This window comes from Homo sapiens, chromosome 8 (genome assembly GCF_000001405.40).
Source record: "Homo sapiens chromosome 8, GRCh38.p14 Primary Assembly".
NCBI classification, from domain to species: domain Eukaryota; kingdom Metazoa; phylum Chordata; class Mammalia; order Primates; family Hominidae; genus Homo; species Homo sapiens.
This window is the reverse complement of record NC_000008.11, coordinates 2,147,246-2,160,845: the sequence shown is the minus strand read 5'-3', so window position 1 is coordinate 2,160,845 and position 13,600 is coordinate 2,147,246. Positions and strand designations below refer to the sequence as shown.

Genomic DNA, 13,600 nt, shown 5'->3' with positions numbered 1-13,600 from the left:
CAGCAAAGATAGAGAGTGTAATGTCTTTTGCCTCATATTAATTTGGTTTGATTCACTTTATTGTCTTACTACTATTTTTAAAACTTCTTGTATAATAATATTAATCACAAAATGATCCATCTAATTCCAGATTTTAATTGACACTTTTCGAGTGTTTTGCTGCTTAGATGATATTGTTTGTTCTGACAGTATTTTCTGCCCTATCTGTCTTACCTTCTTGTATTCCTAATACACAGAGAGGTGTTTTAGGACTGCCTGCTATATTCTACCAAGTGCAGTTTTAGCATATAATGGTATGGTTATTTGATTTTTTTCTCTTATTAATGTGTGCACTACATCAACAGATCTCCTGAAAATAAACCTCCTTTTGACTCTTGAAATAAGCTGCAACAGGCCCTAGTGTATGTCTTTAATATTGTATTATATTCTATATACATACATTTTTATTCAGAATTTTGCATCTCTCAACTGAAAATCAATCAAGTAGACTATAAAGATTTGATATTAAAGTTGCATGGTACTTTTAACACAAATTGTTCTACATGATATAGATTAGTTTAAACAATGTTCCATTTATCTTTTCTTTAAAGCAAGTTAGATATTAGTGGCAAAACCCCTGATTCTGGTGACTTTTAGAATAACAAACCTTAGACCACCTTGCTAAGCTCTAAAATGGTAAGTGGTACGTTCAAGACCTCCACATCTTCATTGTTAAGGAGCATGTCAAAATTCTTACCGTTGTTGTTTCAGTTTTGGTTTTGTCAGCAAACTCCTTGAGATGTGAGAAAATAAAACTCTTTTTAAGCAATGGTAAGTTTTGTTACCTAGTTACTTATGGGCAGGCATATCGTAACTGATATGGAATTTGGTAACAAGAAGAGACGTGCTCCAAGAAACAGACCCTAAATTGTGGAAACAGGTGCCAGCGTGTGGCTCAGTGGAAAAGGCAGGGCAGCAGGTGTCAAAGAGAGGAACAGCCCCCCCATTCCTTCTCGAAGGAAAGAGGGATGCTTCCTATACCTTCTAGAAGGAAAGACAGATGCCTCAGGCCCCGGCTCTTTGTGCTTCTACCACTGTGAGGGCAGGAGGTAGGCATGGCATGAACCTCTCTTTTGAACCTGTCACCTACCATTTTTAATGTAAAAAATCGCCTTCTACTCATTATGAAGTCATGGAGCAGAACTTTGTAACATTTTCCTGTGATATTTACACAGAAATCTGTAATATATGTGCATCTTGTATTGCACATGGCATCTTTTTAATTTATAAAGCATTTTCACGCATCCAGCTGCACATGAGCCTCTGGGAAGTCCATGAGCTGCCCCATTACACACAACACTCTACAAAGATGGGAAGGAAATGGCACTGGCAGGTTGCACCATTTGTCAGAAGCAGAAATGGAGTCTGAACCACATGCTTTGATCTCCAAGTCCAGTCACAGGGCCACTCACTATGGCTACCTCAATCAACGTTACTAAAAAACTCTTCACTCGCCACAACCACCTCAGTTGATATTGCCTTGCACATACGACTTACAGCAAACCAGGGAGGCCCTTCCCAAGCACAGCATTCGTGCAGCACCGTGGGTATGTGACTGGGTATGAGTGGGCCCTGGGAAAAACAAACACAGCCCCCAGATGCAAACTGTAGCCTCAGTTATGAATTATAGGAGCTCTCATTTCAGAGGCATTCTACAAACACAAACAAATAAATGCATGACAAGACTAAGACAATTATATATATGTTATATACATTTATATGTATAAATATATATTCAAATATATATACGAAATATAATAAAGCAATAAATGTGGCTATGATCAAGTATTTCCTGTTACTCTTCGAATCAAGGCTGTCAGACTTAGAGAAACCAACCATATAAAACTGTAGCAATTTCTCAGTAAATTTTAACTATTATTGGCCATGACAATGAGCCAGTCTTGTGCTAAGCCCTCTCTGTGCCCTGTTAATTTTGCCACTAATTGCATTGTGTGGGCTTTTATGTACCTTTCCATTGTGTATATTTTTAAATTATCCTTCCATGAGTACTTTATGCTAGCAAAATCATGAAAAAAAAATGCGTTGTTAAAAAAAATACACGGGGTCTGTATCTAGGCTAAGCCCAGAATACCAGGGCGTGAATCTGCAACCCCAGGGAGATAGATGGAGTCTGACTCCAGGGAGATAGATGGAGTGCTGTAATCCCAGCACTTTGGGAGGCCGAGGCGGGCAGATAACCTGAGGTCAGGAGTTCGAGACCAGCCTGGCCAACTTGGCAAAACCCTGTCTCTACTAAAAATACAAAAATGAGCATGGTGTGGTGGCGGGCACCTGTAATCCCAGCGACTCAGGCGACTGAGGCAGGAGTATCGCTTAAACCCAGGAGACGGAGGTTACCGTGAGCCAAAATCTTGCCACTGCACTTCAGCCTGGGCAACAGAGCGAGAATCTGTCAGGAAGGGAAGGGAAAGGGAGGGGAGGGGGAAAAAAGAGGCAAGAGAATGTTATGTACCAACTTCAAGCAAGACAGTGGTAAACTCTGGAGTGGTAGACAGGGAAAGGATGGGCGTCCAGGTTTAACGACCTCGAATAGTTAAGTGTGTACACACATGCCTGTGCGTTTCCCTGTCACATGTTTTTCTGAAGTGTTCTAAGTGTTTTTAAATTTTTAATTATAAAACTACAAAACTAAAATAGATCAATGCATAGCAAACACGGATAGGAGAGAAGGAGAAATGGAGGGAAGAAAAAACAAACAGAAGAGAGTACCCCAGCAAAAATTTCCAAAATTATCCTTTAGAATTTACAAAGTGGCACAGTTGTTCTTGATTTGGTTATATACAGACAGAACAAGTTCATCTGGGTTGATAAATTATAATATACGCAGCAGTGTTTGCTTTAATATGTACCAGGGCTGATTTACAGGTTATTTTTAACTAGATATTTCCTCGGATGTCTCTAGTCCTGCCAGGTGGGCTAATAAGAACGAATCTAGCAGAGGCTCTGATGTGATTTGCTTCGATTTCTTTAACTTTAGGCAATATTGATGAAGCACCTGTCGTGGGCCAGGCAGGCTCTCAGAGCAAAGGTGCAGCCGTGAAGAACACAGGTGTTCTGCCCTCATGGAGCCGCGGCGCATAAATACTAAGGATTCTGTGTGTTAATTGCCTGCATGTTTGCAATAGTGCTGTAAGCTTACTGGAAAACAGAGTTAGTGAGTGTAAACATTTCTTCTATGACCTTGTTCACGTTCACTCTTTTGCTCAGTAAATCCTATGCTCACAAATAATTCTAAACAAAATTTACCTTGGTGCCAAACTAAGTTATCTCACATTTCACATTAAAGATCCCAAAGAAAGTAAGATTGTACCAGCATTGTGCATATCAGTTAATAACGTGAACTCTTGCTGTAATGAATGCAGTGTCCACCCACTGACGTATTGCTTGATTCCAATCCCTAGTGAGCAGCTATTCTGTGCACTGGTAGCACTAAGAGGCAGAGGAGCCCAGGGCTGGGTGGTCTCCAATGCTCAGGGGATGAGCGATGGAAGGAATGAATGGTGTCGCTGCTTGGATACAGGCAGGAAGTATTTTTTCAAAATGCTGTAAAGCAGCAATGGTGTACATATGGAACATTTTTTAAAAGCTTGCTTATGGCCAGGCGCAGTAGCTAACACCTGTAATCCCAGCACCTTGGGAGGTCGAGGCCAGCAGATGGCTTCAGCCCAGGAGAGACCAGCCTGGGAAACATAGTGAAACCCTATCTTTACCAAAAATACAAGAACTAGCCGGGCATGGTGGTGTGTGCCTGTAATCCCAGCTACTCTGGAGGCTGAGGCATGAGGATGGCTTGAGCCTGGGAGGCAGAGGTTGCAGGGAGCCCAGACTGAGCCTCTGCACTCCAGCCTGGGCGACAGAGGGAGACTCTGTCTCAAAATAAATAAATAAATATAAAAATAAAAGCCTCCTTGTACTCAGGTAGCCTAGTTGACAGATGAATAGAAGGACTTGGGTTTTTTCTTTTTGTTGCAATCTTTAAAAGAAAAACACGGAAATACATACCTGCAAGTTTTCCTCTGTTTGGGCAAAAGAACTGAAGCCATGCTGAAAACGTCACTCTGTGACAGCAAACGGCAGCCTGGAAGTGGGGTTGGAAGGTTCCCACTTCTGGAGCAGGCTCTGCCCATTTGATGGAGCAGGCTGTGCTGATGCAGGCCCCACCCACCTGGTGGAGCTTGTCACGCCCACCCAACAGAGGGCCACGCCCACCCGCTGAAGCAAGTCCCTAGGTTCCCTGTCCCTCTGGCTGGCTGCAGCCTGCCTTAGGCTACCACAACCAGCATACGATCCCTTTCCCAGCAAGAAGGTCTGTTCTGGGCCCAGGCTCCCAGAAGCTTTGAGGTCTCTGGTGCCAGAGCTCCAGAAGATTTAGTCTTATTTTGCTCCTAGGTCTACACCCTGTTGCTGTCCCCACTGTCCTGACATCCAGTCTGGCACTTCCTCAGCACCTGGCTAGGAGGCACTCTCTGCCTCATTAGCGAGCTCACCTGGGCTGGGTCCTGGGCGCTGCTCCCTCCTGTCTGGGCCTGATTTCTGCCGGCTGCAGGTGAGTCCTGCAATATCAGGATTTACCTGCTCAAATACCACCTGCTTCTTAGTTTCTCACTGAGTGGAGACTCTGAGACCAGCCATCCTCATTAGTATGGTGACCTGTTTCTTTAAACGTTGTTAATGGTTTGACTAGGATGTGGGAATGAAGAGGAAACAGACAAATGGTGAGGGCTGCTGTTACAGCCGTGTCTCTGAACTGATGGTGCAGCCTCTGTTACCACTGAACCAAGAGAAGATCTCTAATGGACTTGAGAGTTCTGCAAACTGATTTGGGCAAGGAGCCATGAGTGGTCAGTGCAGAAGGCCAAGGGCATGGGCTGTGTTTATTCCCAGACACCCACCTGACAGGCACCGCTGCGTTCAGCCCTCAGCACATCTAAAGGTTAGGAGCAGAGATTTTGAATTAGCTAGTCATCAAAATGAGAAAGACAAATTATAATTTCTTAAAATTTTAGATCTGAGAAGTAGCTTAGAAAACCTTTGAACTACATGATTCTACCTGAAAAACAAAAACCCGAGAACCTTTGGGACAGGACTCTTGTGGGAAAGAGCAACATACAAGACGAAACCCGAGCCTGTGACCAAGGGGTGTGACCGGGGGCTGTGACTGGGGAGTGTGACCGAGGGGTGTGACCGGGGGCTGTGAGTGGGGAGTGTGACCAAGAGCTGTGATCGGGGGTTGGGGGCTACAGCGGGGGAAAGCAGAGTCCCCTTGGGCACATGAATGCAGCTCGATTTGAGAACTGCTGACCCAACTTTTACAGAGAAGAAAACTGAGGCACAGAAAAAGAAAAGCAGTTTGTCCAAGGGTGTGGTATTTGTCTGTTTTCATACTGCTATGAGGACTGCCTGAGACTGGGTAATTTATAAAGGAAAAAGGTTTAATTGCCTCACAGTTCATCATGGTTGGGGAAGCCTCAGGACACTTACAATCATGGCGGAAGGGAAAGGGGAAGCAAGGTGCCTTCTTCACCAGGCAGCAGGAAGAAGTGCTGAGTGAAGGGGGAAGAGCCCCTTGTAAAATCATCAGATCTCATGAGAACTCACTATCAGGAGAACAGCATGGGGGAAACCAACCCCATGATTCAATCACCTCCACCTGGTCCCTGTCTTGACATGTGGGGACTGTGGGGATTCTGGGGATGACAGTTCAAGATGAGATTTGGGTGGGGACACAAAGCTGAACCCTATCAGGTGCAGAGCCAAGCCTCCAACAGAGCCAGGACCAAAGCTGGATTCTGTGTTCTTCCTGGTACACTCCGGGTTCATTGCTTTTTGACAGCAATATATTAAAAGAAATTATGTTTGTGTTACTGAGAAGCAGACTCACATCTTAGTAACATAAAAGCAGATATGAAGGAATGTGAATGATGAACCAGAGTGGAAGCAAAGAATTAAAGCAGTGCAGAGGCAGTGAGGGGCTGGGTGTTTCTTTTGGTGTCATAAAGTTCAATCAGTTTGGGATCTTTTATTTTAATTTTCATTTTAATGTACCTTTTTAATATTCCCTTTTATTATTCCCCTTCAATATACCTTTTAAATATGCCCCCCTTTAAAAAATATGGTCATCATCCTACAGGTAAAATGATGTCTAAATAAGATATTCATCTATTTTTAAGCCAGTGAAAAATGGGACTATTATATGCAATCTTTCCTTCCATTCATTGTTTAACTGCAGCTCAAAAAGGCAATTAAAAAAATAAAAATCACAAGTGTTGACCATGTTTAGCCTCTACAAAACAAAGCATAAGAGAAGTTTCTAATGGCTCCCAACCACTGCTTTTTCCCAAACATGAGGAAGTCTTTATGAAAATTGCGAGGCTGAACCACCATGGAGAAAAAGCTCAAGGGCAGATCAGGACACCAGGGTGAACACAGCTCCCTGAAGACCCAGAAACTCCTTTCTCAGGCCCTGCCTCACCCTGTGATAGCTTTGCAGTATCACATGCTTCATGTGAAATATTTCAATGCTGTAATTTACTGCTTTGAAAAATGAGTGAGCCCGCTCCCTTTGACATGCCTCTTTGAAACATGGAATATTTAAAATTCATACCCAAACTTAATGTATAGATAGATCACACATTTTTATGACTTCACTGATGTAATAAGAGCCTTGTAATATCTCAAAAGATACGTTTTATCCCTCCTAATGTGTATCATGTGCAGATTAAGAAGCTATATCATTGCCTTCAAAATGACCTGCTATTTCCTGGAAACTGTAATTTGCTGGACCTGTCCTTGTCACTGGGGTAAGTATAATGCCTTTAATAATCTTCCAGTCACTAAGTGATGTGTTTGCATCAAAAAGATGGATCTGGCTTGGCGGCAGGGGAGGCGCTCCATGTCTGTTCTCCCAGTGACATCTAGAGGCTTCACAGGGCCTGGAGCAGAGTGAAGCAGGTTGGAGGACTTTTCTCCAGGTTCACTGAATTTAGTCATAAGAATGTTTTAAAGGCTGAGAATGAGAGCATTTCAGGGCACGACTGCCTTATAGCATGACTCCCAAGTGGGGCAGACAAAAACCGGGTGAGAGGCAGCGTCCACAGGAAAGGATCTGGCCGAATCCTTTGAAGACACAGAGAAGCCACTGAGAGCTCTCCCATAAACCGCCACCCTCAGTTGAGCTCAAAACTCCAAGCCACTGCGAACCAGCCTCGGGAAGGCTTTTAAACAGAGTTCCTTTTCTAACAAGGTAGGCATCAAAGGTGATCTAAGGGAAGCAAGTGTGTTTTAAAAAACACCCTCACGCCTATAATCCCAGCACTTTGGGAGCTGTAGGCAGGTGGATCACCTGAGGTCAGGAGTTCAAGACCAGCCTGGCCAACATGGTGAAACCCCGTCTCTACTAAAAATACAAAAAACTAGCCAGATGTGGGGGGGAGGGGGCGGGCCCTGTAATCCCAGCTACTTGGGAAGCTGAGGCAGAAGAATCGCTTGAACCCAGGAGGCAGAGGTTGCAGTGAGCCGAGATCATGCACTCCAGCCTAGGCAACAGAGTGAGACTCTGTCAAAAAAAGAAAAAACAAAAAACAAAACAACAACAACCAAAAAAAAAACCCACCCCAGGTGGCCCATGCTTTCAGCCCGAGAGTCTCAGAAGAAAGCTCAGAGGCCCGTGTGACTGGCCAACATCCAGCCCACCTGCCCCAGGCCACACTGTGCTTGAAAGCTGGAGCGGCCAGCAGGGGCATCTCAGCACCAGGGAAATCGGCTGGACTTGACTCGACAGATCGCAGACTGCCAGCCAAGGGCTCCACACTGAGTCACCTCCTGTGTGCTGTGGTGCGCGTGTGCCCGATAGACAAAGGTAAACCTGGGTGTTGGTGATTTACTTTATATGGGAATCACAAATGTCATCTATAGTTTTATCTAGACATGTGTGATGGAGATACATACTTTGACCAGTTGTGTTAATTATTGCCAGCAATGTGTGCAAAAGTCAACTTTCTACTCCTAGAGGGACAAAACAATTTTGAAAGCAATGAGGAACAAGCCCAACTTTCCAACAGCCTCATTTTAAAAAGTGAATGTGCAGAGGAGGCCTAAAGACAGAGCGGATATATCCCTCAACATCTATAAGACCACATATAAGTGGGACAGGAGGAGAGACCCGCACTCCACATAAAAACTTCCATGAAGAGAAACGATAAACAGTGAAACAGGAGACGGAGCCCAGAAACACACCCGCACACATATGGTTGACGGTTTTTGACAAAATTGCTGAGAACACACAATGGAGAAAGGACAGTGTCCTCAATCAACGGTGTTGGGGAAACTAGATCTCCACAGGCAGAGGGTGAAATTGGCCGTTATCAGACACCATAGGCAAAAATCAACTCAAAATAGATTAAAGACTTCAACGTAAGACCTGAAACTGTGAAGCTCTAAAAGAAAACAGGGAAAAGCTCCATGACACTGGTCCAGGCAAAGATGTTTTTGGATATGACCCCAAAAGCACAGGCAACAAAAGCAAACACAAACAAATGAGATTGCAACAAACGGAAAAGCTTCTGCACAGCAAAGGAAACAACAGAACAAAGACGCTGAGGTGGATGGATCACCTGAGATCAGGTGTTAAAGACCAGCCTGGCCAATATGGTGAAACCCCGTCTCTACTAAAAAAACAAAATTTAGCCAAGCGTGGTGGCAGGTGCCTGTAGTCCCAGCTACTCGTGAGGCTGAGACAGAAGAATCACTTGAACCTGGGAGGTGGAGGTTGCAGTGAGACAAGATAGTGCCACTGCACTCCAGCCTGGGTGACAGAGTGAGACTCTATCTCAAAAAAAAAAAAAAAAAAAAAAGGAAAAGAAAATATTATCCAAAAATACATAAGGAACTCAAACACCTCAATAACAATAAAAGAAAGAACTCAATTAAAAACTGGGGCAAAGGCTCTGAAGAGACATATCTCAAAAGAAGATATCAGAATGGCCAATCTGAAAAAAAATGCTCAATATAAATAATCATCAGGGAAATGCAAATTAAAACTATAATGCGCTGTCACTTATACACAACTGTTCAGATGCTGTTGTCGAAAAGAGACGCCGCATGTTGATGAGGGTGTGCAGAAGAGGAACCCCTTGTGCTCTGTTAGCGGGGATGTAAATTAATACAGCCATCCTGAGGAGCAGTGTGGAAATTCCTCAAAACACTACAGATAGGATTACCATACGACCCAGCAATCCCACCTCTGGCTATGTACCCAAAGGAAATAAAATGAGTGAGTGGAAGAGAACCTGCACCCCGTGTTCATGGAGCGCTGTTCACGGTACCCAAGATAGAAAATCAACCTCAGTGTCTATCAAGGGATGAAAAGATAATGGAAATGTAGAAATGGAATACCAAAGTGAGCCTTAAAAAAGAAGGAACTCCTGTCCTTTGCGGCATCATGGATAAGCATGGAAGACATTCTGCTAAGTGAAATAAGTCAGGCTGAGAAAGACAAATACCACATCTTCTCATTCATATGTGGAATCTAAAAAACGTCAGACTCATACAAGTAGAGGGTAGAATGGTGGTTAAATGGTGGTTACCAGAGGCTGGGGCAAGGACCAGATGGAGAAATGAGAGATGACGGCCACAGGGTACCAAGTTTCAGTGGGATAGGAAGGCTAAGCTTAGAGACTGATCTCACACAGTGGTCAGTATAATAGATAATAATGCATTGTGTATTTCAAAATTGCTGAAAGAGCAGAATTTCAGTGTTTTCACCACAAAAAAAATGGTTAGTATGTGAGGTGATGGATGTGTGAATTAGCCTGATTTAGTTATTCCACATTGTAAACATATGGCAAAACTTCACAGTTCACCCTACAAATATATACTGCAGTTATTGTCAATTAAACATAAAATATTTAAAAAAAATCATGTAGACACACACGCACAAAGAGGATTGGTAAAGAATGGCCTAAAACTGGGAGGCTGAGACAGGTGGATCACTTGAGGTCAGGAGTTCAAGACCAGCCTGGCCAGCATGGTGAAACGCTGTCTCTACTAAAAATACAAAAATTAGCCAGGCCTGGTGGTGGATGCCTATAGTCCCAGATACTTGGGAGGCTGAGGCAGGAGAATCGCTTGAACTCGGGGGACAGAGGCTGCAGTGAGCTGAGATTATACCACTGCACTCCAGCCTGGCTGACAGAGTAAGAACTTGTCTTAAAAAAAGAAAAAAAACAGTTATATTCCTTTGTTGAATGTTGAATGTCATCATTACTGTAAGTGTGCTTTTATGAAATTTAATTTCTAAATCTGCTTATGGTTTCTAATCTTCTAAGTCCTGAAAGTTCCCGTGATGACTCCCACTGTACTCCTGGGTTACAGGTTTTGTGGGAAAAAAACAGCGCGCGCTTGGCCAGGTGCGGTGGCTCACCTGTGTAATCCTAGCACTTTGGGAGGCCGAGGCGAGCAGATCATTTGAGGTCAGGAGTTCGAGACCAGCCTGGCCAGCACGGCAAAACCCCATCTCTACTAAAAACATGAAAATCAGCCAGGCGTGGTGGCGGGCACATACAGTCCCAGCTACCTGGGAGGCTGAGGCAGGAAAATGGCTTGAACCCAGGAGGTGCAGGTTGCAGTGAGCCGAGATCAATCATGCCATTGCACTCCAGCCTGGGCAACTGAGTAAGACACCATCTCACCAAAAAAAAAAAAAAAAAAAGAAAGAAAGAAAAAAGAAAAAAAAAATGCACGCTCTGCCATCAGCCACATATTTGTCACCCATGGAGTGAGGCTGGTGTGGTCCATACATGACCTGTCCATGGTGCATATTTTCACTCTCAGCCAGTGAAACACACACAGAATGATCCTCCTTTTCCAAAAATGAAAGTGCAGCTGTGATACAGTATAAGGAATAGGTCTTGGCTTAATGTTTGTACAGTAAAGAAACTTTGTGTGAATCCTTTAGAAAGTAGCCAATTTTTTAATAAATGGTATAAATGCCTCTTCGTTTATCTGCAGTACATCTCACTGTTCCATATCCATTTAACATAAAGTGAGGTCTACTTAATCCTACAAAATAAATGGTGCCTCTGTTCCTGGGTCTCTCTATCTCTGCACGAAGCAGCACTTCCTCCAACATGTCCTTCCGAGGCTTGAAAAATAACGTGGTTCCCAGTACGGGGTCTTGGGCTCATTTTCTAACCTTACACAATTTCATTCTGGCCTGAGAAGGTAGAGTTGAAAGAAATTAATTGGCTTCAAAATTATTTCTTAAAAATGGGATATGATCACTTCTCTCCCTTTGGCTAAAATCAAGCATAAAAATTAGTCTATGGGCAGTTTTACTTACTTTTGTAAAATGCAAAATCCTTCTATGTCTCATATGAGCTGAACACACTAGCACATTCTCCAGGTAATAAGCAGGAATGAGTTAGTCTGCAAAAAATGTTTGTCTCACTCTTGTTAGCCCTTGACTCCATTTTGGAAGCCAATGACTCCTAACATTGTTAGTTTGAGGAACTATTGTTTTTTTTCATGCTGAGTCAAATTTCCACCATTTACACTCCCACAGACACAACCTTTACTCTCTTGGGCTCAGCATCTCCCAGGAAGATAACTTCTTCAGCTGGGCACCAGCAATTTTTATCTAACGATTCTCAAGAGGTGGCCACAGAAGCTGTTGAACTGATAGTCATTTTTAGCAGCTATTTGATTTATTTAAAAAGCCTCACTTCCACCCCGAAGCCCCGTATTTCATAATCCTGTGAATGTCAAACTCATTCTTTCTGTAACTGAGCTCTCAGAATACACATGCCATCACACACCCAGGACGTGCAGCCCCGATGGAGTCAGGAGACCCCTGGGCAGGTCCCGGAAGGAGAACTGCTCTGTGGAACAGCTGGCCTGGGCTCTCCAAAATTACCCGCGTCACTAATGACCAAGAAGGGTCTTCCAGAGAAGTAAAGCTGTGGCAACTAAACCCAACACGTGAGCCCAAACCGCATCCTGGACTCCAGCTGGGGAACGCCTCCAGGGACATTATCGGGATGACTGGCAAGGTTAGCATATGGACTGCAGATCACGCTGCTGTGTGACGGTCGGGTCCCTTGACTTTAAGAGCTGTGCTGTGGAAACACAAGGGAACACTCTGCTCCTTGTTCTTGGGAAAAAACCAAAGCACTAAGGGACAGAGAAGTGGGATGCCGACAACGTATGAAATGCATTTCCAAATGGCTCTAGGAAAATTTAATTTTTTCACAGAATCAATACCTCGGCAAATGACTCTGTACCCTCCTGGTGTCTTCCCGTTCCTTGTTTTGTGTCATCCTCACAGCTGTCAAATGAAACGACTCAGGCGAAGAGCTCCAACCACGGCCCTCTCCGTGCTGAGCATTCGCTGCCTCCACTGCCACATGCACGGATTCTTAAAAAGCGACGAAAGGGCGGAACCCTGACTTCCTCCAAGAGGGGCAAGCCCAGGACTTCCAGGCACAGGCAGTGGGCGACCTCGATGTCTTTCCAGGTGCTCAGTTCTCCGCATTCTGCCCTGAGGGAGTAGGGGTGATCCGACTGGCATCACATATCTTGAGATATTCATTTGCATAAACACAGCGGCACCCAGATCTTGGCTTCTAATCCCACCCTCCAGTAAAAGGAACCAGGGGTCCTTGGAGAAATGGGTCTAGGACTGGAGCAGGGAACGCACAGATGAGCCTGGGTGTCCTGCAGTGCCAGAAAACCAGGCTGTGCCCAAAGAGGCAGCTGTGAACAGACCCCGGAGGCCGGCAGAAAGGGCTCCCTGTGGCCAACACTGGAAAAACCTGAGCAAGAAAGTAGGCTGGGCGCGGTGGCTCACGCCTGTAATCCCAGCACTTTGGGAGGCCAAGGCAGGTGGATCACCTGAGGTCAGGAGTTCAAGAACAGCCTGGCCAACATGGTGAAACCCCATCTCTACTAAATATACAAAAATTAGCTGGGCATGGTGGCAGGTGCCTGTAATCCCAGGTACTCAGGAGCCTGAGGCAGAAGAACTGCTTGAACCTGGGAAGCAGAGGTTGCAGTGAGCCGAGATCGTGCCACTGCACTCCAGCCTGAGCAACAAAGGGAGACTGTGTCTCAAAAAAAAAAAAAAAAGAAAGAAAAGAAAGAAAATGCATGGCGAAACATGGGTCACATCCCAGAGCTGAAATACAGCACAAGAGTCCATACAGATGTCAGTAAATGATGGGATAAATAAATAAATAGGGAGAGGAGACAATCTTTCTTCCAGAAGAATTGCAAATAACAGAGGTAGATGCTCCTGCTCCAAGAGGTGAACGTGATTCCATGCTCTTGCTTCTTTGAGGGTGGTCTGGGCTGAGACAGGCTCCCAAGGAATAGAAGGAGAAGAGGAAAAAGCAGGCATTTCATGGGAGACAGCAGGCAGACATCACCTGAGCAAGTGATGAAGGTTAGCGGATGTCGGGCACCCCACATGACTCCTCTTCCCAAAAGCACACATCCCCAGTCTCATCACACGAAGATCGTCTTCCCTGGACTGGGGACCTGGATT

At 44.6% G+C, this 13,600-nt stretch overlaps 1 long non-coding RNA gene across 1 annotated transcript in view; it reads right to left on the bottom strand.

Annotated features, from left to right (window-relative positions):
- LOC105377781 (uncharacterized) overlaps positions 1 to 4,169 on the bottom strand; it is a 39,852-nt gene extending 35,683 nt beyond the window's left edge. Inside the window, exon 1 of the long non-coding RNA XR_941356.3 lies at positions 4,063 to 4,169. This is a non-coding gene — a long non-coding RNA (uncharacterized LOC105377781). The remainder of the gene's footprint in view (positions 1 to 4,062) is intronic.
- Between the last annotated feature and the right edge of the window lie 9,431 nt (positions 4,170 to 13,600).